Below are 23,740 nucleotides of genomic sequence, written 5' to 3'. Positions count from 1 at the left end.
AGTCTTGAATAACTGAAACCCTTCTGGCCAGATTGTCTAATATCAATTTTTTTTTCTGGCACTGCTTCTTCTATGTCTTCTTTCTCATTGTCCAGCACATTTGGAAGCAGTCATCTTTATCAAGTCATTTTCTGTTACCTCCTCCGGTACAGTGTCTAATAGCTCTTGAATTTCTCCAAGATCCAAATCTTGAAACCCTTCACCTCCTGTCCTCCTTTTTTAAAAGACTGTATCTACAATATCTTTCATTATTTTCTTGATTGGCTGTCATAAGTTCTGTGAAGTCATGCATAACATCTGGACACAATTTTCTCCAGTAGGAATTTCTCATTTTTGCCTTGACAGCTTGCACAGCCTTTTCTATAACAACAATGGCATTTTCAATGATGTAATCCTTCCAGACATTGGTTATGTTCTCTCCTTTGGGGTTCTCTTCCATAGCATTGACAATCCTTTTCATATACCATGTGCAATGAGCCTTAAGTGTCTTTATGACCCCCTTATCAGAAGCTGACTTAAAGATGTGTTTGGGGGCAAGTAGACCATTTTGATGCCTTTAGTGTTAAATTCATGAGGTTCTGTGACCAGGGGCATTGTCCAATATCAAAATAATTTTAATAAGGCAGCTCCTTACTGGTAATGTGCGTCTGATTTAATGTCCCTTCTGATTTCAGGGACAAAGCATTGATGGAACTGATCCCAAACAGGGGTTCTCATTAGCTAGGTCGGGTTGGTGTACAATCAAAAGACTGAAAGCTGGTGTTTATTTTTTTCCTTCAGGCTCAGAGTTTAGCAGCTTTTAGGTAAGGGCAGTCTTGATCATAAACTCAACTGTATTTGCAAAAATTCAGTAGAGTTAGCCTGTCTCTTCTTCTCTTAATTTCTGGTGCTCACTTCTTTTCCTTAATAATACATTTATTGTGGCTTTGTTTTTTCAGAATGGGAAACTTTTTTTTCATTTTTTGAGACAGAGTCTCACTCTGTCACACAGGCTGGAGTGCAGGGGTGCGATCTCACCTAACTGTAACCTCCGTCTACTGGGTTTAAGTGATTCTCCTGCCTCAGCCTCCTTAGTAGCTGGGAATACAGGCATGTGTTACCATGCCTAGCCAATTTTTGTATTTTCAGTAGAGATGGGGTTTCACCATGTTTTCCAGGCTGGTCCTGAACTCCTGACCTCAAGTGATCCACTCACCTCAGCCTCCCAAAGTGCTGGTATTACAGGCATGAGCAACTACACCCAGCCCAGAATAGGAAACTTGTGTGTGCATTAAAAACCTGTTTAGGTAGATATTATTTCTCCTCAATTATTTTCTTAGTAGTGTCTGGGAACTTGTCTGTTACCTCTAGTTCAGCAGAAGATGCTTTCCTGTTATCTTGACATTTTTAAAGCCAAATCTCATTCTAAAATTATCAAACCATCCTTTGCTGGCATTAAACCTCTAGCTCTAGAACCTATAATTTTCTTTTGCTTTAAGTTGTCATACAATGACTACTTTTTCTTGAATTATAGTAGTGTCTATAGGTATGCCTTTCCTATAGCAATCCTGAACCCACATAAAACCTGCATCTTCATTATGAGTAAAAAGATATTTCACAAAAACCGTAAGGTTGTGTCAGTCACTTGCTGGTATAGCTGCAGTGATGGCTTTATATATTTCCCTTTCTTTTTTTGCAGTGGTCCTGACAGTGGATTCATTTATCTTGAAATGGTAGGGAATTGCAGCTGCAGACCTTAACGTATGATACATATAAAATAATTTAACTTTTTCTTGTAATGTCATGACTAGTCTCAGCTTTTTGGAAGCACTTCCTTCCTCACCAGTGGCACTTTGTATTGGTCCCATAGTGTTATTCTAGGTTTATGGTATTGCATGAGACACTAACACTATAAGAACTGCAAGAGATCATCTTTTACTACAATATGCAATTTACTGGAGAGACAAACTGCTCATGCAGAGATGATTAGTGTGAAATGGTGTTTTAAGCAGATTGAGCTCACTGCAATAGCAATGGGAGCTGGCTATGAAATTATTACGGTAATATAGTATACACTAAAGTTAACTTTATGCAGTTGTGATTTAATGCTACACCTTTACATTTGTTTATATTTTTCTCAGTTGTAAATGGTTCCATGTCTAGTCTGTGTTTGTGCATAAGTTTTGATAAATTTTCACTTTTTATAATAGATTTGTATACATTTTATTATAGCAAATGATGAATAGTATGTACATACATTTTTGCATCTAGGACATACCTGACCTTTTTTTTAAACTTTTTAAAAATATTTCTAGACTACAGGTTTATATGTATATTTTTTTCAACGTGTCACAAATCTTCAAAAAATCTTCCAGTATATTTATTGAAAAAAATCCACATATAGGTAGACCTGTGCAGTTCAAATATGTGTTGCTAAAGTCAACTGTATTAAAATATGGGTCAGAAAACTTTTTATATAAAGAGCTAGATAATAAATATTTTAGACTTTGTGGGCTGTACGTTCTCCGTCCCAACTATTTAACATGGCCATTGTAGAGCAAAAGCAGTGATAGACAATACTTAAACAAATGGATGTGGCTGGACTCCAAGAAAACTTTATTCACAGAAAGGTACAGGCTGGATTTGGGCCATGCAATAGTTTGCTGACCCTTGTATTAATATACTATCATTAATACATTGTCAATTATCATATATCTATAACATCTGAAAGGATGAAGAAGTCTCTACAAGAATGGGAACTATGGATAGAAAAACTCAGGGAGGGAATTTGGAGATTAAAATCTTTCCTTGAGGAGAATTATGGTGACTATCTTCAAAAAGTCACCATGCACAGCTGAAGGCCTTTAAAGAAGAGAGACTGGATGGTAATATGCCATAAGGGAGTGCAATGGACTCAATGTTTGTGTCCCCCAAAATTCATATGTTAAAATCTTAAACCCCATTATAATGATATTAGAAAATGGGGCTATTGGGAGGTGATTAGGACATGAAGGGGAAGCCTCACAAATGGGATTAGTGACCTCATGAAAAATAAAGAGAAAGCTTGCTATCTCTCTCCGTTCTCTACCATGTGAGGATACAATGAGAAGATGGTCATCTGCAAATTAACACTAGGGTCCTCACCAGACATGGGGTCTGCCAGCACCTTGAACTTGGAATTCCCAGCCTCCAGATCTTTGAGAAATAAGTGTTTGTTGTTTTAGCCACCTAGTCTATGGTAATTTTTTCTAGCAGCCCAACTGACTAAGACAGAGAGTGTGCCAACCAACACAGGAAATTTTACCTATTTTGCACTGTTGCTGTGATTTGGGACAGATTTCAGTATTGAGATTATCCAAGTACAACACTCAATTCTCTAGAAGTTTAATATGAAACAAAAAAAATGGGATAGCATTCAAATACCCCATCCTGAAGTATTTTTTAACTTGGTTGGTGACAGTCAGAAGGCCTTGGTATATGTATATAAGATAGTATTTAAAGGTAATGTTTAAAACTGAACTCAGTAAACCTTGACCTATATATTCACAAAGTTGAATTATGAATATAAAAGTAAACAAATACAACTTTTTCCTTGTAGAGTTATTTTGTTGTATGAACTGAAAGAACTGAATGATTCTTTTGGGAAGAACAGTGTTGTTCTCTACACTTGTATGGAGTTCATAGACCATTTATTTTCAATCATAAAACACCATAGATTGTAAGATGCACAACCGATTTGATAACAGCTTTTCAGAGAAGAAACCAAAGTGAACTTAACAAAATCCAAAATCTGTAGGATATTCAATATTCCCGTAAATTGTGGACTATATCCTGACTTTAGAAATTTAAAAAGTGAAAAAGCTATATCATAGAATGGAAGAAATGTTTTATATCATCATCTCCTCTGCCCACCCCACTCACCCCCAACACACACACACACACACACACACACACACCCCTTGGCTTTAGGTGAAAAGTAAAATAAGCCAGAACCTCTTATGAATTCTTCAGGAATAATGCAGCATAAATGAACTTCACTGCTTTGTTCCAGCTTGTCTATTCTGAGATAAAATTTGTATTGTTTCAAAATGGATAGGATTTTTAACTGCATTCAAAATGAACTTTTATCTTAGGAGAATTTTAGATTTTTTTTTTATTATCCTTTAAGTTTTAGGGTACATGTGCACAATGTGCAGGTTACATATGTATACATGTGCCATGTTGGTGTGCTGCACCCATTAACTCGTCATTTAACATTAGATATAGCTCCTAATGCTATCCCTCCCCCCTCCCCCCACCCCACAACAGGCCCCGGTGTGTGATGTTCCCCTTCCTGTGTCCATGTGTTCTCATTGTTCAATTCCCACCTATGAGTGAGAACATGCAGTGTTTGGTTTTTTGTCCCTGTGATAGTTTGCTGAGAATGATGGTTTCCAGCTTCATCCATGTCCCTACAAAGGATATGAACTCATCATGTTTTATGGATGCATAGTATTCCATGGTGTATATGTGCCACATTTTCTTAATCCAGTCTATCATTATTGGACATTTGGGTTGGTTCCAAGTCTTTGCTATTGTGAATAGTGCCACAATAAACATACGTGTGCATGTGTCTTTATAGCAGCATGATTTATAATCCTTTGGGTATATACCCAGTAATGGGATGGCTGGGTCAAATGGTATTTCCAGTTCTAGATCCCTGAGGAATCACCACACTGACTTCCACAATGGTTGAACTAGTTTACAGTCCCACCAACAGTGTAAAAGTGTTCCTATTTCTCCACATCCTCTCCAGCACCTGTTGTTTCCTGACTTTTTAATGATTGCCATTCTAACTGGTGTGAGATGGTATCTCATTGTGGTTTTGATTTGCATTTCTCTGATGGCTAGTGATGATGAGCATTTTTTCATGTGTCTGTTGGCTGCATAAATGTCTTCTTTTGAGAAGCGTCTGTTCATATCTTTTGCCCATTTTTTGATGGGGTTGTTTGTTTCTTGTAAATTTGTTTGAGTTCATTGTAGATTCTGGATATTAGCCCTTTGTCAGATGAGTAGATTGCAAAAATTTTCTCCCATTCTGTAGGTTGCCTGTTCACTCTGATGGTAGTTTCTTTTGCTGTGCAGAAACTTGTTAGTTTAATTAGATCCCATTTGTCATTTTTGGCTTTTGTTGCCATTGCTTTTGGTGTTTTAGACATGAAGTCCTTGCCCATGCCTATGTCCTGAGTGGTACTGCCTAGGTTTTCTTCTAGGGTTTTTATGGTTTTAGGTCTAACGTTTAAGTCTTTAATCCATCTTGAATTAATTTTTGTATAAGGTGTAAGGAAGGGATCCAGTTTCAGCTTTCTACATATGGCTAGCCAGTTTTCCCAGCACCATTTATTAAATAGGGAATCCTTTCCCCATTGCTTGTTTTTCTCAGGTTTGTCAAAGATCAGATAGTTGTAGATATGCGGCGTTACTTCTGAGGGCTCTGTTCTGTTCCATTGATCTATATGTCTGTTTTGGTACCAGTACCATGCTGTTTTGGTTACTGTAGCCTTGTAGTATAGTTTGAAGTCAGGTAGCATGATGCCTCCAGCTTTGTTCTTTTGGCTTAGGATTGACTAGGCAATGCGGGCTCTTTTTTGGTTCCATATGAACTTTAGAGTAGTTTTTTCCAATTCTGTGAAGAAATTCATTGGTAGCTTAATGGGGATGGCATTGAATCGATAAATTACTTTGGGCAGTATGGCCATTTTCACAATATTGATTCTTCCTACCCATGAGCATGGAATGTTCTTCCATTTGTTTGTATCCTCTTATTTCATTGAGCAGTGGTTTGTAGTTCTTCTTGAAGAGGTCCTTCATATCCCTTGTAAGTTGGATTCCTAGGTATTTTATTCTCTTTGAAGCAATTGTGAATGGGAGTTCACTCATGATTTGGCTCTCTGTTTGTCTGTTATTGGTGTATAAGAATGCTTGTGATTTTTCCTCATTGATTTTGTATCCTGAGACTTTGCTGAAGTTGTCTATCAGCTTAAGGAGATTTTGGGCTGAGACAATGGGGTTTTCTAGATATACAGTCAAGTCATCTACCTGAAAGTGACGGGGAGAATGGAACCAAGTTGGAAAACACTCTGCACGATAGTATCCAGGAGAACTTCCCAAATCTAGCAAGGCAGGCCAACATTCAAATTCAGGAAATACAGAGACCACCACAAAGATACTCCTCGAGAAGAGCAACTCCAAGACACATAATTGTCAGATTCATGAAAGTTGAAATGAAGGAAAAAATATTAAGGGCAGCCAGAGAGAAGGGTGGTGTTACCCACAAAGGGAAGCCCATCAGACTAACAGCTGATCTCTCGGCAGAAACTCTATAAGCCAAAAGAGAGTGGGGGCCAATATTCAACATTCTTAAAGAAAAGAATTTTCAACCCAGAATTTCATATCCAGCCAAACTAAGCCTCATAAGTGAAGGAGAAATAAAATCCTTTACAGACAAGCAAATGTTGAGAGATTTTGTCACCACCAGGCCTGCCCTAAAAGAGCTCCTGAAGGAATCACTAAACATGGAAAGGGACAACCGGTACCAGCCACTGCAAAAACATGCCAAATTGTAAAGACCATCGAGGCTAGGAAGAAACTACATCAACTAACGAGAATTTTAGATTTATAGAAGTATTGCAAAGATAGTAAAGAGAGTACCAGTGTATCCACATCCAGTTTTTGCTTTTATCACTGTCTTTTAAGAGTTATTTGTGTATTTTAGATACTAGTCCCTTACCAGACACGTTTTGCAGCTATTTTCTCTCAGTCTGTGGTTTGTCTTTTCTTTTCTTTTTAAACTGTGCCCTAATATGCCTTTTTTTTTTTTGTTCCAGCATACCATTCAGGATATCACATTAAATTTAATAGTCATTTCTCCTTAGGCTCCTTTGGCTTTCAGTTTCTCAGACTTTTTTTTGTTTTAGGTGGCTTTCACAGTGTTGCCAATTATTGGTCAGGTATTTCATAGACTGTCTCCCACTTGGGATTTGTCTGATGTTTTTCTCATAATTAAATTATGGTAATTATTTTTGAGAGGAATCCCACTAAGATATAATGTCATTCTCACAATATACTTTAAGCATGCATACTATCAGTATGACTTGCCACTCTTGATGTTAACCTTTATCACTGGGCTTGAGGTATGTCAGGTTTCTCCACTATATAGTTATTCCTTTTTCTCTTTTTATATAATCCTCTTTATAGCCACCATGTATATAGTTCACACTAAAGGAGTGGAAAGTTACACTCTGCGTTCTTAAGGTGGTGTATCTGTAAGGTATTAAAAATTCTTCACCATAGGAGACCTGTCACTTCTCCCCCATTTATTTATTTATTTAATCATTTATGTATATCAGTATGGACCTATCTTGTCTATGTCATGCACTGTTCCTAGATTCAGCCAATTCTCCAAGGAGCCTTGGTTTCTTTTACACTTTTCTAATGGTATTAAAAACCAAGATCTGAGCACTACGTGTGCTCTTTGCAATTAAAGTGCCATTGTTTCCAGGTTCTTTCAGCAGACAGATCAAGGAGAAATATGTATATATATGAATCCATCTACAGAGCCGAGATCGCACCACTGCACTCCAGCCTGGGCAACAGAGCGAGACTCCGTCTCAAAAAAAAAAAATTCTATCTATCAATCTATAAATATTTCTACAGGTAAACATCAGCAGATATAGCAAACTAAATATAAGTTCTTATTGATGTATCCAACTCTAATCCATTACCATATGGATCCTTCTAGTCTTCTTCCCTTGCTTATTTGAGCCTTTCATTTTAGCAGCAAGAAGTCTGATTCCAACCATTTGCCATCAATTTGCCTAATTGTTCAATTCTAGTATGTATGTTTAGTGACTTCAAAATTGCTAATCTGTACCATTAAGGGAAACAACTTTATCAGCTACAGTACAGTGTACATACAATTTATTTCCCTTTAACTTTACAGATTACACTCATTCCCAATGTTAAGTGGGTCAGCACCTTATTCCCTAACCACCTTCAGTGAAGTTGTTTTATAAACTTGTCATATACTTAGACTTGTCACTTTCTGCATTCCATCCTTGTATTCTCCAAACTAATTTTTTTTAAATTTGTACCTGTTAAGGTTTATATTTTGCCATAAAATCCTATGGATTTTGATAATGCTTAATATCTTGCATTCACCACTACTGTATTATACAAAATATTTTCACCACCCTAAAAATTCCCCTGTGTTTTATATATTTAGCTAGTCCTTCTCCACCACCTACTGAACATCTGGTAACCACTGATCTGATTACCACTGCTACAGTTTTGCTTTTTTAGACTTTCATATAATTGGAATAATAATATGCAATATGCATTTAAGTTTCATTTATATCTTTCCATGGCTTGATAGCTCATTGCTTTTCATTGCTGAATAAATTTCATTGCACAGTATGTCAAGTTTGTTTAATCATCTATTCAAGAAACACTTGGTTTTGCTCTGCTTTTGGTGAATAAAATTCCTATAAAAGTTTGCATACAGGTTTCTGTGAAGTTTTCAACTCATTTTTGTAAATACCTAGGAGTGCAACTGCTGGATTTTGTGTTAAGCCTATGTTTAGTTTTGTAAAAACCTCTCAAAATGTCTTCCAAAGTAGTTGTACCATTTTGCATTCCCATCAGCAATGAATAAGAGTTCCTGTTGCTCCACATCCTTGCAAACATTTGGTGTTGTCAGGGTTTTGGATTTTCATCATTCTAATAAGTGTCTAGTGATAGCTCATTGTTTTCTTTCTTTTTTTTTTTTTTTTTTTGAGACAGAGTCTTGCTCTATTGCCCAGGCTGGAGTGCAGTGGTACGATCTCAGCTCACTCCAAGCTCTGCCTTCTGGGTTCACGCCATTCTCCTGCCTCAGCCTCCCGAGTAGCTGGTACTACAGGCGTGAGCCACCACACCTGGCCAATAGTGTCCTTTGATGAACAAAAGTTTTAAATTTTCATCAAGTCCAATTTATTTTTCCTTTTGTTACTTGTCTTTGTGTTCTATTTAAAAATACATTGCCAAATACATAAAGGCAAATGTTTTTCTATGTTTTCTTTGAAGTGCATAGTTTCAGGTCTTAAATTTAAGTCCAATGTTCTAGGTAAGTTACATTATTTTTAAATTTTTATTTTTTATTTTTGGAGACAAGGTCTCTTGAACTCCTGGGCTCAAGAGGTCCTCCCACCTCAGCCTCCCAAGCAGCTGGGACTACAGGCAGATGCCACCATTTGTGGCTAATTTTTTTAAAAAAACCTTTTTTTATATAGAAATGAGGTCTCACTATGTTGCCCAGGTTGGTCTCAAATTCCTAGGCTCAAGCTATCCTCCCACCTTCGCCTCCCGAAGTGCTGGGATTGAAGGCCTGAGCCACCACACCTGGCCTAAATTGCCTTCTAAAAAGGTATTACCAAATGATACTCCCACCAACAGTTTATAAGAGTGTCCATTTTTCTCTCCAATGTTGGATATTATCAGCTTTATATGTTGCTAATCTAGTGGGAACAAAAAATATATGACATTATTTTAATTTTTATCCCCATCATTATCAAAGAGGTTAAACATCTTTTCACACATTTATTGGCAATTTGCATTTTTTTGTTCTTTTGAAATTTTTCTATTTTTTGTTATTTTATATAATATTGATTCATAGGAGCTCTCATATATTATGAGTATTTATCCTTTCTTATGTTTGCTTTACATATTGTTTCCCAATTTATAATTTGTCTTAATTTTGCTTAAGGAATCATTATTCAAAGCAAACTTTTTATAGTTTATGATGAATTTATGATAAATATTTATGATGAATTCTGGTATTTATGTTTTCAAGCCTTCCTCAGTCATAGTTATAGACATGTGTACCTATAGTTCATTTTAATACTTTTATAGTTGATAGCATGTATCTTTTATTTTGTTTTAACATTTAACCCTTTTATCCATTTGGATTTAAAAAATACATCTTGTGTGAGGCAGGAGTCTAACTTTTTTTTTTTACCAAGCCTTACACTGATTTTCTCAACATTGTTTTTGAAACTGTCAATTCAAAAATAATGAAAAAAATGATCATTATGTTTTTTTATCTGCATAGAAATTCTTTATAATCTTTTGCTATGAGATTTTTGGCACCAAACCATTATAATCATATTTTATCTACAAATAAACCTAAAGATAGAAAAAATGCTTTGATAGTTTTATAATTAGAATATTTAAATGATTTTCTCAGTTTATGGCAAAATTTTTAAGTTTTTTTTTTTTTTTTTGAGACAGAGTCTCACTTTGTCACCGAGGCTGGAGTGCAATGGGGTGATCTCGGCTCACTGCAATATCTGCCTCCCGAGTTCAAGCAATTCTCCTGCCTCAGCCTCCCCAATAGCTGGGATTACAGGTGCCTCCCACCACGCCTGTCTAATTTTGTATTTTTAGTAGAGACAGGGATTTGCCATTTTGGCCAGGCTGGTCTCGAACTCCTGACCTCAGGTGATACGCCCACTTCGGCCTCTCAAAGTGCGGGGATTATAGGCTGAGCCACAACACCCATCCCTTACCAGTAATTTTAATGGTCTGGTTGTGTCCTGCATGGAAGTGTATTGTCTTTTGGAGGGGATCTGTAGTAGTTAGTGAACAGATTCTATTTGGCTTTCCCCCCAAAACTTTTATGCCAGAGTTATTTTTAGTCCCATTTGTCAGTAGATTAAGATGTTTGATGGAAACTACTTTATCTCAAAGATTTTTCAACCCCTTTAGGTTTGTGAAGGTTAATCACAAAACACAAAGAGTCAGGATGTTGTTATTAATTGGCTTATGAGCGTGTCATTGCAAGGGTTAATATTTCTACACTGCAGGGAAAAGAAGGGTCATAATTCCAAGGCAATTAACTGAGAGGAACAGCCTGACCCAGGAAAATTCCTCTTGGCTCCTATAAAAGTTACATGCATTTTAAAGATTGGTACCCAAAGTAGCCCGTTCTTTGGTTTTATTGTTCTGTGGAAAAGAACATTTTCTCTGATACTTTAAGTTTGAAGAATCAGTGCATATTTTAATGCCACATATGCAAAAATATCTTCCAAATTTACTTAGAACTTTAGGTAGGAGTATGACTTTTTGGGGGAGAAGGATAGAAGAGAATTCATTTAAAACAACTAGAAAATGCAGTCAATAATCAAGAATATATGTTCTTCAAAAAAAAATTCACTAGAACCTGGGAATTTTCATTGTAAGTATCTCTGTTGTCTTGATAACTGAAATCTGTGTTATCTGTGTTACAAAGAGTAGCAATAGATCCTTCTATAGTGAACATAAGGCATGATTTGTCTGTTTCATAAATCAAACATTTATACATTTGATTTTCTTAAGGTAAGAATTACTTGTATATGCGTCTCTGTAAACTTGGGAATGTTGATTTATTTTGTGAACACGACTAGTTATAGACAAGTCCATCTCCTTGACTTTACACTCGTCTATATCAAAATTACTCTGAATTGTTTTGGAATTGAACATATCTGACTGAAAACCAAACAAACATAGGAGTTAAAGAGTGTTCTTAGATTAATGAGATAATTTGCTTTAAAAAAAGATGAATTATATATTTAGGGCATTAAAAATTAAATATAATTAAATAATAATTTAGGTGGCTTTAATTGTGTGAAATTTTGAAAAACTTTTTCAAAAGACAGATACTTATTGAAAATTTTTAACAAGCATTTTCTACTCTGCCTTCCCATTTCCCTGATTGTCCTTATCCAGGAGTTTATGTTTTGCATGCTCTTTTCTTACTTTAGGGGCTGCAAACACTGTCATGAATTAAATATGTCATCTATGGAGTATAGCTAATCTATAAGCCAATATCATGTAATGCAGCTTAACCTGGACTTTTTTTGACAGTTGTAATACAAATTGCTTTTGATTTCAATCCAATCCTCTTTGATAACCACAGTTTGCACAGCTTCTCAGAGCAAATCCTTTCTTATGGTCTGAGTGATGAATTTCTAAAGCTCATTGTATATGTCAGGTCTTCCAGTTACGTAAGTGAAAATAATAGCAGACGTAAACTTTTTGCTTTAAAAAAAAGCTGAATGTTTTTATGCTCTTGAACAAAGGTCAACAAAACAACAACTTAAGAAAAGGCTAAACCGTCTTCAGAAACCCCACTTGTGAGAACAAGCACTCTTGCATGCATGTTCTGAGAGAATGATGTAGTGAAATGATCCTAAGTTTTAAAGGTCACATGGACCTTGAGGTGAATCCTAGAATCCTCCCTGTATATCAAGGGAATTTTGACAGGTCATTTAACATTTCTATATCTAAGCTCATCCTAAAGTGGGGCTGAAAATACCTGTCATAGATTGTTATATGTAATAAAAGAATTACCAGATGGAAAGCACCTAGTGCAGTCCCTAGAATTTTTAGTTTCTAGATAATTCATTCCCTGACTAGATTTTCACTCCGGGTTTCAGATTGACACTGAGTTTTGCAGAGTTTTTCCCTACTCTGAGTTCCCAAAGTCTACTGAAACAGGATTCAGGGCTGAGCAGCACGAAGACAGGCAGCCTAAGCAGGAGTGGAGAGGTAAAGGAGAAGAGAGGGGTTAGCTCTAAAAACAGAGATTGAGTTTATGGAACTTTCAAAAGAGGAATCTCAACATATTGACAGTAATCATGGGCAATTCTAAGAATTCTGACTTTTCACTATTTTATATACTCAGGTTATATATATATATGCAGAATATGGAATTTGGAGTCAGAAGACCTCTTTGGGCCTCAGTTTTCTCATCTATAAATTGGCAACAAAAATATTTCATGCTTTGTGTTCTTCATGTGGTTAATAGGACATCACAAAATCTATTAGTGTATGAGATAAGCCTTTGAAAGTATAAAACTCAATAATAAAAAATAAATAAAATAAATAAGAAAAAAAGAAAGTATAAAACTCTATACAGTTGTTAGCTATCATGTCTTGATCTGGATGAACTAACAATATATTGTATGCCAGAGGAGATATAAGAATTAAGACAGATCAATTACATTGAAAAATGCTACACAATCTCCAAGGAAGTAATTCTCAAGGAAGTAAATATTTTCAATCTGTAAAATCAGTTTATGTCAATCATATAAAAATTATCATAATTCTATAGCACACACACTCACACACATATAATATTAATTATGAGAAACTCAGGACTTCTTAGAAAATAAAACTAGATTGTTTGAAAGAAAAACTAATGAACTGGAGTTTCATTCCTGGAGCTTATACCTATTATTAGCTTAAACATGATGTACTGAAAATTTAATAAAATTTCAAGCTGTTTCAGAAAGCTAAATAAAATGGAGAATTCTTTTTTTTTTTTTAAGGTTATTCAATCAACCTCCTAATATGGGCATAAACTCCAGTGGCTTGGACTCTGAAGCATGATTCCTCAAAATAAAGCAAACAGTTCCTCATGACTTTATAGAGTGATTAAGCCATTGGAAATGCGTTGCACAAAAAGCGCCATGCAGCACAACATAGAAAAGAGCTCCAGTTAATGTAACATGTGGAGAAAGACAGTGTGGGTATGCACTTAACTGTTTGGAGAAGCTCCTTAACTTTAAAATCACGTATTGAAACTAGGATATGTAAAAACTTCGAATGAACTTCAAATGAAGAATAATGACATAAATTAATTAGGGCTGGATAAAGAATAAAATACCACTTATTTAAAATGCATGTACTAAGAATTCAGAGGAGCAGATAGGTTACACATCTGAGGTGTGTTTCTTCAGGTTTCAAGAAAGCACTCTATTTAGAAATCAGTAGCATGTTTTGGTTACATTTGCAGAATGGCAATCCACTGTTTTCTTTTTTAATTTGATTGTGATTCTAATGTTTGCTATGTCAAAGAGACTCTCAAGTGTTTTAAAAATCCTTTTATACAAACGTTTCTTTATTTGGCTCTTAATGTAGACCCAATCAAACGAAAGAGCACTGAATTTTGGGAAAGAAAAAATTAAAATAGAATGTCAGTCTAAATTATTTTAAATCTGTTGTGCTTATCAAATATTTTTTATTGATTTATATGATTTTTAGGCATCAATATGGCATTTCACATGTATACTACTGTTGAAATTTTATATTATATTGCAACATACTTGCATATTATTTTAATAATATGAGGAAAGAATAAGACAGGTGATTTACTATGAGTTAGTTTTCTTATTTTGTGTAAAGAGGAACTTTACGAAGGCCAATTTTTTTCCACAGAAACTTCTTCCTTTAAGTAGATACAGCTTGTCTGAAGTATGAATCTATCATTTAAAAAAAATAGTTCAAGCCTGTTGAAGAGGCTTTATTATTTTTGCAACCTGCCCAAACAGAATTTTATATTATATGATAGCTTTGTTACTTGTCAATAACCATATAATTCATTTAAACTTCATTACTTGTCAATAACCATATAATTCATTTAAAAGAGAAGAAACTAGGCATTAAACAAATATCTTTACAGTATTTAAATTAAAATGTAGCATGCTGATTTCTGACTAGGAAAATGAAGAATAAGTGCCAACAAGAGACACTTAAGAAACTGCTATTACTTCTTTCATCTTCCCAGAGAATTATCTGTTCTCTGCATATCAGAATTTAGGCACATCATCTCCAATTGTTTGTGTACCTATCAATCTATCCTAAGAGAATCCTAGGTCCTCCAAGATAGAGACTATTTTATTATGTTTTATTTTTCCAGCATACTCAACATGTTGAATGCATGAATAACTGTACATATGAATGAGTGAGTACAGACATAATTTTCGTAAAGTTTAAAAAATATTTACGACCATGATTCATGGTAAAAAAAATACATTTGTACATCGGGATGCAAAACAGAAGAGTGTGCATACACATACAAGAAAAAAACAAAAACAAAAGAGTTACAAATCAATATTCATCTTTACTCCATGTACCACTCTCTGGTATTTTCTATTCATATCTATTTCATTGGAAAAAATAAACTTCTTGGTGAACTAAATTGATTTTATAAATGAGTCATAAACTGTAATTTAGAAAACTAATTTGTGGAATAGAAAAACATATAAGAATCAGCTTATCCCTAATTTAACTTAAATACAGAAAACTAGTAAATATGAGGTATATTGACACTATCCATGTCATAAAATGTCCTGGAAATAGTACAGAAAAGATTCTTGAGGGTAAATTTTTGAAGAAGGCTTCGGGGAAAAGTTTAACTCTACTTGAACCTTAGCATTTTAGAATTTTGATTACAGAGAGAAGCTGAACATTCAAAGGTGTAGAAGGTAAGAACAAAAGCAAGAAAAAACAGAAATGAGTGTAAGATGAGGAGGTATGACAGCTGTAAAGATCACAGAGTCAGGCTTGGAGAGATAAAATGTATGAATACTAGACTGAGGACTTTATTAGGACCTCAAACAACATTTTCTCTTTCTCTCTTTCCTCCTTCTCTCTCTCTTTCTTCCTTCCTTCCTTTCTTCCTTCTTTTTCTTTCTTCTTTCTTTCTTTCTTTCCTTTCTTTCTTTCCCTTCCTTCCTTCCTTTCTTTCTCTCTTTTTCTTTCTTTCCTTTCTTATCACTGTAACATCAGCAAGCAAAACTTTTCCCTTTGGTCAAAAGAGATAGACAGGGAACACAATTAGTCTATTACAATATTATGAAAAAGAAGTGATAAAGATTAGGCTAATTTGGAAACAACTAAAAAAGAAAAGTAACTGATTGCTTAGGAGACCAAGCAACGTAGGGAATTAACCCTTTGCATTATAAGCTCTGTCATCTGGGAGATACTGGTAGTGATGACAGGAATAGAAAAGTTAGAAATAATGGACTGTTTGAAAGGGCTGTTTGAGTATTTTTGAGGCACCCCTTCTCTACACTAATGACTGTTTCAATACCCAGGCTTACCTTTCAACGTGAGAATGTGTAATGGTTATTTTTAGCTAAAGGTTTGCAATTTTCAAGTATGCTAAACTTCAGTATTGAGGCAGACTGCTGCAAACAGGCAAACATTCTGGAAACTGGGTAAATCAGATTGCTCGTGGTACAGCTCTCTAAATCTCATGGCTTACCATCATTGAGATTCAGCATATAATCTTGATTCAAAGGAAACAAACAAACCAGCAATCAAAAAATAGAGTAAAATAACAACAACAATAAATACATAAATTCTCAAGAAGCTAACTACATCAAGAAAACATTTTGAATACTTTACAAAACTTTCACTGAAGTTACTTATTTCATTCATAATAAAAAAATTGGCCTTAGGCATAATTTTCAAAAACTGCTTTGTTTCCATTTATTAGATTTTAGAATTTTTAACCAAGGCTGACATTATCTCCCACTACTTCTACTACTTTCCTATTCCCAAGTCACTAAAACTAAGAAATCACAAGAGTTGCCTCTAATAGATACTTTTGGCAAAAAACCTAAATCCAACAGATACAGAAATGTAATATAGAGCACCCTAAATCACCCAAGTCAATTCTCTTTGGGCCTTAGAATATTAGTTGAGTGTTATTTTCATGACTTGTCTGATTTTTCTTTTTGGATCTCTCTATCTAGAACAATTCAGAGGTTTTATAAATAATATCTTTCTATGGTTGATTCATTTTAACACCATGATTTTATGTAAAATGGGAATGTCTGGTTTGTCATTTTTATTTTTTTCTCGGACTGAAAACACACCTTCAATGAAAATAATAGTCAATGGAATAGGGTAAATATTAATATCTACAGGATTATTATGAGTTATTAAGGTGAGTATGGCAGTCTCACACTCCAAAGAAATGAACATCTACAACTTCAGAATGTGTTCAGATGTTTATAGCATACAACATATCATAACACTTCATAATTACAAAGCACCTTTCTTGAAATAAACTCTAGTCTATTTCACATGTTCTCATAGTTTCTTTGGAGTTGTTCCAAAGATACATTACTGTTTATAAGGTAAAGTGTGACACATGGCAAGTTCCTACAAAATCCATCTGAATTGAAGAAAGGAGATCAAAAACTAAGCAAGCTGAGTAGATGTCTCTGTGTGAGAAAGGCCCCTTCTGTTGTGATCTACAGAACTAATGAAAAGAATTTTTCCAGACACCACAGCATAGGGCTGCAGTGGGTTCTGCCTGTTAGTCTGGAGGAATTATTGTTTCAAAATATCCTCGCTGAATGTCAGGAATGCCCTAAGAGTCGTTTTTCCTCCTAGGTCCTAATGGCTCTTAACTTACATTAAAATGTTTTCTGGATTTATATAAGTGCTAATAATGACAACCTTTAGAAAAAATCCTGAGTTACATGTCATGGATTATTAAAACTTTACAGGAACAATTTACTTCTGGCAGGTCAAACAAAACTGGAACTTAGTAAGCATATTACCGCAGTGCTGCCTATTAGAAATGTCTTATGAATTAGTAAAAACATCTAAAATATTATTCTTCCTATGTGACAGCATATCTTATAAAGAACTAATTATTCAGAATTGAGTCACTTTTTCTGTTCTTTGCAATGAGTTTAAGTGGTAGGAAGAGAGAGGTAGTGTTAAATATCACAGATTCCACGACCATCCAGTCACAGAAGTGATTTAATTCTAGAAGGGTCTGAAAATAGTAATAGGATTATTACCAAAATATGTTACGGGATAACAGCAAGGATTGACTGGAATTGCTTATGTAAAGTTTCTGGAACCCTTTTAGCTGGTCACAAAGTTAGGGCTGAGGTGCTCTGCATCTTCCGCATCCTGCCACAGATAATTCTGTACAATCTGCAGAGATGGTAGGTAGTAGCTCTATACCATGCTTAAAAAAAATCGCAGTCCATGAAGTACAACCACATTCTCATAAATCACAGATGTGTTCATTATCAAAAGGATCCTCAAGTTTGAAGTAATTTCAAAGTCTGGTAGGCCTGTCTCATGAGCAGATTGAAAAAGTCACACACATGATCTGATAACACCTGGGAGATATACTTCTGCCCTGAAATTTTTAATGGTGCTTCTTTTAGGGGAACACTTTTTATTTGAAACCTTTCTTGGTACAGATAAAAGTGGGGTCGCTTTGACTGCAGAGGAGGCCCTGGAGCTCCTTCTGCTCCAGTGTCTGGGGCAGTATTGAAGAACACAGGTAGTTTTAGAAAGCGTAAAATCATTTTTGAGGTTCAGTGCCCTGCAAATAATCATTCTTTTTTGAAATTACCTGTTTATTTTCCTCAGAAACAAGATAGAAACCTACATATGAAGAGGAGCTTTCAATAGTAGAGTTTTCAGTAATAAGGAGGAAATTCTCTAGCCTTTAAAAAATGGAAAAAATTAAATCTTGCTCTTTTGAAAGACTACATGTATTACTGTTTCTAAATTTTCCTAGAAAAAATAAAGCCTTTGCTTAAAAAAATACAGCATTATATAACTATGAAATCCATAGATCTTTTATACATTTGATATGTACATCAGTTCTGAGCCAAAAGCACATAAATTAAACCACCATAAAATAAAATATATATATAATTATAAAAAATAATGTTATTCAGAAATAAAGTACTATAAAAAGAGGCTGAGATATTAAAGATACACCTTATTTTCATTTTCTGTCTCCTCAGGCATGGGTTAATGTGAAGGTATACACTGTTCTATTATAATTCAAAAATACTTAATAATCTTTGGAGGAAAAAACCTACTTATTTCCACACTTGCAGATTTTTTTATTGGTAAAATTGAGAGCATATGCCACCTCTGGGATCTAAAGTGTTGCAGTTAATAATAATTCTGTTTACCATGATAATGGCAATCATATAACTTCACAATTTAATAGGTGGGATTTAAAAAATAGTTTTATGCGTCAGTTTACTTTTGATGAGTTTAATCTAACTGGTTGCATATTTTGTGACTTCTTTATCTATATTTAGTACTATCTTTTCCTTCCTTTTTCTTTTTGAGATGGAGTCTCACCCAGTCGCCCAGGCAGGAGTGTGGTGGTATGATCTCGGCTCACTGCAACCTCCCCCTCCCAAGTTCAAGCAATTCTCCTGCCTCAGCCTCCTGAGTAGCAGGGATTACAGGCACCCACCACCACGCCCAGCTAATTTTTGTATTTTTAGTAGAGACAGGGTTTCACTGTGTTGGCCAGGCTGGTCTCGAACTCCTTACCTCGTGATCCTCCTGCTTCAGCCTCCCAAAGTGCCGGTGTGTCCGGAATTGGTGGGTTCTTGGTCTCACTGACTTCAAAAATGAAGCCACGGACCCTCGCAGTGAGTGTTACAGCTCTTAAGTGGCGCGTCTGGAGTTTGTTCCTTCTGATGCTCGGATGTGTTGGGAGTTTCTTCCTTCTGGTGGGTTCATGGTCTCGCTGGCTCAGGAGTGAAGCTGCAGACCTTGGCGGGGAGTGTTACAGCTCTTAAAGCAGGGCCTCTGGAGTTGTTCGTTCCTCCCAGTGGGCTCGTGGTCCCGCTGGCTTCAGGAGTGAAGCTGCAGACCTTGGCGGCAAGTGTTACAGCTCATAAAAGCAGTGGGGACCTAAAAAGTGAGTAGTAGCAAGATTTATTGCAAAGAGTTAAAGAAAAAGCTCCCACAGGGTGCAAGGGGACCCTAGCGGGTTGCCACTGCTGGCTCGGGCAGCCTGCTTTTATTCTCTTATCTGGCCCCACCCACCTCCTGCTGATTGGTCCATTTTACAGCAAGCTGAGTGGTCTGTTTTGACAGGGCGCTGATTGGTGCGTTTACAATCCCTGAGCTAGACACAAAGGTTCTCCACATCCCCACTAGATTAACTAGATACAGAGTGTGGACACAAAGTGTTCTCCAAGGCCCCACCAGAGTAGCTAGATACAGAGTGTCAATTGGTGCATTCACAAACCCTGAGCTAGACACAGGCTGCTGATTGGTGTGTTTACAAACCTTGAGCTAGATACAGAGTGCCGATTGGTGTATTTACAATCCCTGAGCCAGACATAAAGGTTCTCCAAGGCCCCAAAGTAGCTAGATACAGAGTGTCAACTGGTGCATTCACAAACCTTGAGCTAGACACAGGGTGCTGACTGGTGTATTTACAATCCCTGAGCTAGACATAAAGGTTCTCCACGTCCCCACCAGACTCAGGAGCCCAGCTGGCTTCACCCAGTGGATCCCTTACCGGGGCTGCAGGTGGAGCTGCCTGCCAGTCCAGGTGCCTTGCGCCCGCACTCCTCAGCCCTTGGGTGGTCGATGGGACTGGGCGCCGTGGAGCAGGGGGTGGCGCTCCTCGGGGAGGCTCGGGCCGCCCAGGAGCCCCATGGAGGGGGTGGGAGGCTCAGGCATGGCGGGCTGCAAGTCCCGAGTCCTGCCCCGCGGGAAGGCAGCTAAGGCCCAGTGAGAAATTGAGCGCAGCGCCAGGTGGGCTGGCACTGCTGGGTGACCCAGTACACCCTCCGCAGCCGCTGGCCCGGGTGCTAAGCCCCTCATTGCCCGTGGCCTGCAGGGCAGGCCGGCTGCTCAGAGTGCGCGGCCCGCCAAGGCCACGCCCACCCGGAACTCCAGCTGGCCCGCAAGCGCCGCGCGCAGCCCCGGTTCCGGCTGGCGCCTCTCCCGCCACACCTCCCTGCAAGCTGAGGGAGCCGGCTCTGACCTTGGCCAGCCTAGAAAGGGGCTCCCACAGTGCAGCGGTGGGCTGAAGGGCTCCTCAAGTGCCGCCAAAGTGGGAGCCCAAGCAGAGGAGGCGCCGAGAGCGAGTGAGGGCTGTGAGAACTGCCAGCACGCTGTCACCTCTCACTGGGATTACAAGCGTGAGCCACCGCGGCCAGTCAGTGCTATCTTTTAAAGATTTTTTTATTTTTGTTTTTGTTTTTTTTTTCAGTCAATAAACTTGGACTTTGCACCTTTAACTAACTTGATACAGCTCCAGACAAAGCTAAGAGTCTAGATAAGCAGTCAGTCCAGTTGTGGATTGTGTCAGAAAAATGACTTTGGCAACTCATGTAGAGACTATGCTCAGGTTCCCGTGTCCATAAAAATTGGTATAATAACACTCATTCCCCTTTTATTTTGCAGACATCATAAAGATGAATAAGATAATTAAAGGAACCCAAATATATGGGCATAAACATATAAACCTGAGGTAGGACTATTATTATAATGATGTTAAACAATGAGCATATTCAAAAGCTAAGTAATTAATACAAACTGTCCAAGACCATTTTTAAATATTGCATGCATATGGAAATTTGGAAAGCAAGAAGGAATCACAAGCTGGGCCACTGGGAAAGTTCGAGAGCCCTAATCCTGCCAGAGGCACTGCAGGGTGTAGTCACTTTCAGCACTCCTGTCTGACAACTCCCAGGTGAGTAGAGAGATTTGCGTCTTTCCCACCAGCCTGTGCTGAAAAAGTTTTCCCTGCTATTTAAAAACAGGCATGGTTCCTCTCATTTCTGGTAGGCGCAAGGGCCAGAGGCCTAATAGGACAAATAACCTTTCCTTCTCCGACCCCAGAAAATGTCCACATTAATTGGAATTGAATATTGAAATGTACCACTTTTGCATACATCTAAAACTTGCAGCCTCTGGCTTCATTATGAGTCAGATGGCAAATTGGAAAGACTGCGGGTGGGTCCTGAAACAAGGCTTTGAATGTTTTCTGCGTCTTTGTGAGCAGCTAGGCTTTCTACTGCTTGTAACATTAAAGTTGAATATAAAACTGTCATTTAAAGAAAAAGTGCTAGAGCATCTCTTTCCTTCCCGGCTGTATTTGGGATCCATCGACCCTTCCACAGAGAAGTCTCCTTTGAAGTCCCCTTTCTGACCAGGTTTATCTCCCAATTATTTTTTTCTTCTTCAGCTTTGAATTTATTCTTGTTCATACTTATCTCAGTTGCAATTTTTCATTTATCTGGAGGATTATTTGATTAGTGCCTTCCTTGCCAACTGGAAAGTAAGTTAGAGTAAATCGGGGCTGTATTTACTAGGGCTGCCGTATTTATCACAAACAAGTAAACAAAAAATTACAGGACACTCAGCTAAATTTGAATTTCAGATAAACATAGAATAATTTTTAGTACAAGAATGCTGTTTATCTAAAATTCAAATTTAACTGGGAATCCTGTATTTTATCTGGCAACATTTTTAGTCACAGTTTACCTTCAAGGCTTATCATAGTATTAAGAATATTGTAAGAGTTCAATTAAAATGTCTTGAATGGATGAATGCCAGATTGCAAGGAGGAAGGAAGGTATCATAACATTTTAGACAGTTGCAAATACATAAGATTGCACACTGTATACTTATAATTCATTTCCAAAAACTCTTCCTTGAAATAAATTTTCAAAAGCCAGGAACGACCCATAGAGATCATAGATAAAACTTTTATGAGTAGTAGTCAGTAAAAATGTCATACCACAATTCCACCATCAACATACTTTCGATTCTCCTGATTTCTATACAGAAAAGGTAACGAAAATCATATACACATCACGTAATTAACTAAAAACCAAATTTGAAGCAAGAAGACTCTCCTCATTTTTTACAGTGTTGATTGAAATACAGCAGGTGAAGCTTACAGAATGTGTAGTTATAAGTAGAAACATTCACTAGAGATCAAGGGGTGTAGAAATAGCCAGGAAAACTGGCAAATAACCCTCATCAGGTTTTGCGTGTACCTCAGATATTGTTCTTTGTCATCATCATTATTATAATTGTTTGACCTAATTGCTGTCTATAAATTACAAAGCAGATTATTGTCTTCTCAGACCCTTTTCATGTTTCTCTATTCTTTCATTAATTTCAACAAATACTGAATGTCTATTGTGTGTAAAACAATCTCTAAAACAGAAAATAAAAACCTATGTAAATGTGTTAAAGACTTACATAAAAAGTATTCTTATGTGGAAATACACACATTTTTTTCCTAAAAAGAATTTGCTAACTTAGCAAAGGCAAAGATTGCAAAGCACAGAAAGAATCCATATGACGACAGTACAAGTTAAGACATGTAGAATGAGAGTGAATTCCCTCCAATATATGTGTAGTTTGGCCCCTTACCCTCCATAATCTATATATTAGTCATTTCATTGTTTGAATATTTCATTTTAGAACACCATTAATAAATTATACATAAGTTTAAATTTCTACTGCTGTATATAAGCATACTTCTACTTTGCTCTTTTTTTTTTTTTTTTCTTAGAGGTGAAAGGATCCAGTAAGACTCTCCTTCTTGTAACAATGCTTTAGAAAACCACTTTGTGGTAGATTAAAGATGAACTACGGATTTTTTACTGTTCTTTGCACAAGAGGTGGAGCTAAATTCCTGTCTCCTTGAACCCATGCTGTCCTTACTGAAATGTTTCCTTCTTTTCTATATACTTTGACACAGTGTGTCTAAGATTGTAGGTTTTCTTTTTTTCATTCTTTTTTTAAAGTGTTTGGTAGAACTTGCTGGAAAAGCCATATCTGAATTTGTTTTAGTTTTGTTTTTGTTTTGTCAGAAGATTTTTCACTAGGGATTCAAACACTTTAATGGTTATGGGACTATGGTATTTTCTTTCTTTTTTAATTCAGTTCCCAGGAATTTGACCAATTTATGTAAGTTTTCAAATTTACTGGCATAAAGCTCTTCATAACATCTTTATATTATCTTTAAAAATTTCTGCATCCGTTATGTCTCTTTTGTTGTTAAAGTTAATTATTTAAGCTTCCCTACCTCTTTTTCTCACTACCTCCTCGATCTCCCTTTCCTTCTCCTCCTTCTCTTTCTCTTTCTTCTTTGTTA

General features: G+C 36.6%; 2 long non-coding RNA genes across 2 annotated transcripts in view; both read left to right on the top strand.

Annotated features, from left to right (window-relative positions):
* LOC101928166 (uncharacterized) overlaps positions 1–13,521 on the top strand; it is a 45,966-nt gene extending 32,445 nt beyond the window's left edge. Inside the window, exon 3 of the long non-coding RNA NR_136178.1 lies at positions 13,365–13,521. This is a non-coding gene — a long non-coding RNA (uncharacterized LOC101928166). The remainder of the gene's footprint in view (positions 1–13,364) is intronic.
* Positions 1–23,740, top strand: part of LINC02917 (long intergenic non-protein coding RNA 2917) — an 89,729-nt gene that overhangs the window by 32,443 nt on the left and 33,546 nt on the right. The window contains exon 2 of the long non-coding RNA NR_186000.1: positions 21,031–21,319. This is a non-coding gene — a long non-coding RNA (long intergenic non-protein coding RNA 2917). The remainder of the gene's footprint in view (positions 1–21,030; positions 21,320–23,740) is intronic.

The sequence above is a fragment of the Homo sapiens genome, chromosome 3 (genome assembly GCF_000001405.40).
Source record: "Homo sapiens chromosome 3, GRCh38.p14 Primary Assembly".
NCBI classification, from domain to species: domain Eukaryota; kingdom Metazoa; phylum Chordata; class Mammalia; order Primates; family Hominidae; genus Homo; species Homo sapiens.
Note: the sequence above shows the minus strand (reverse complement) of the source record. Positions and strands in the feature narration are given on the sequence as shown.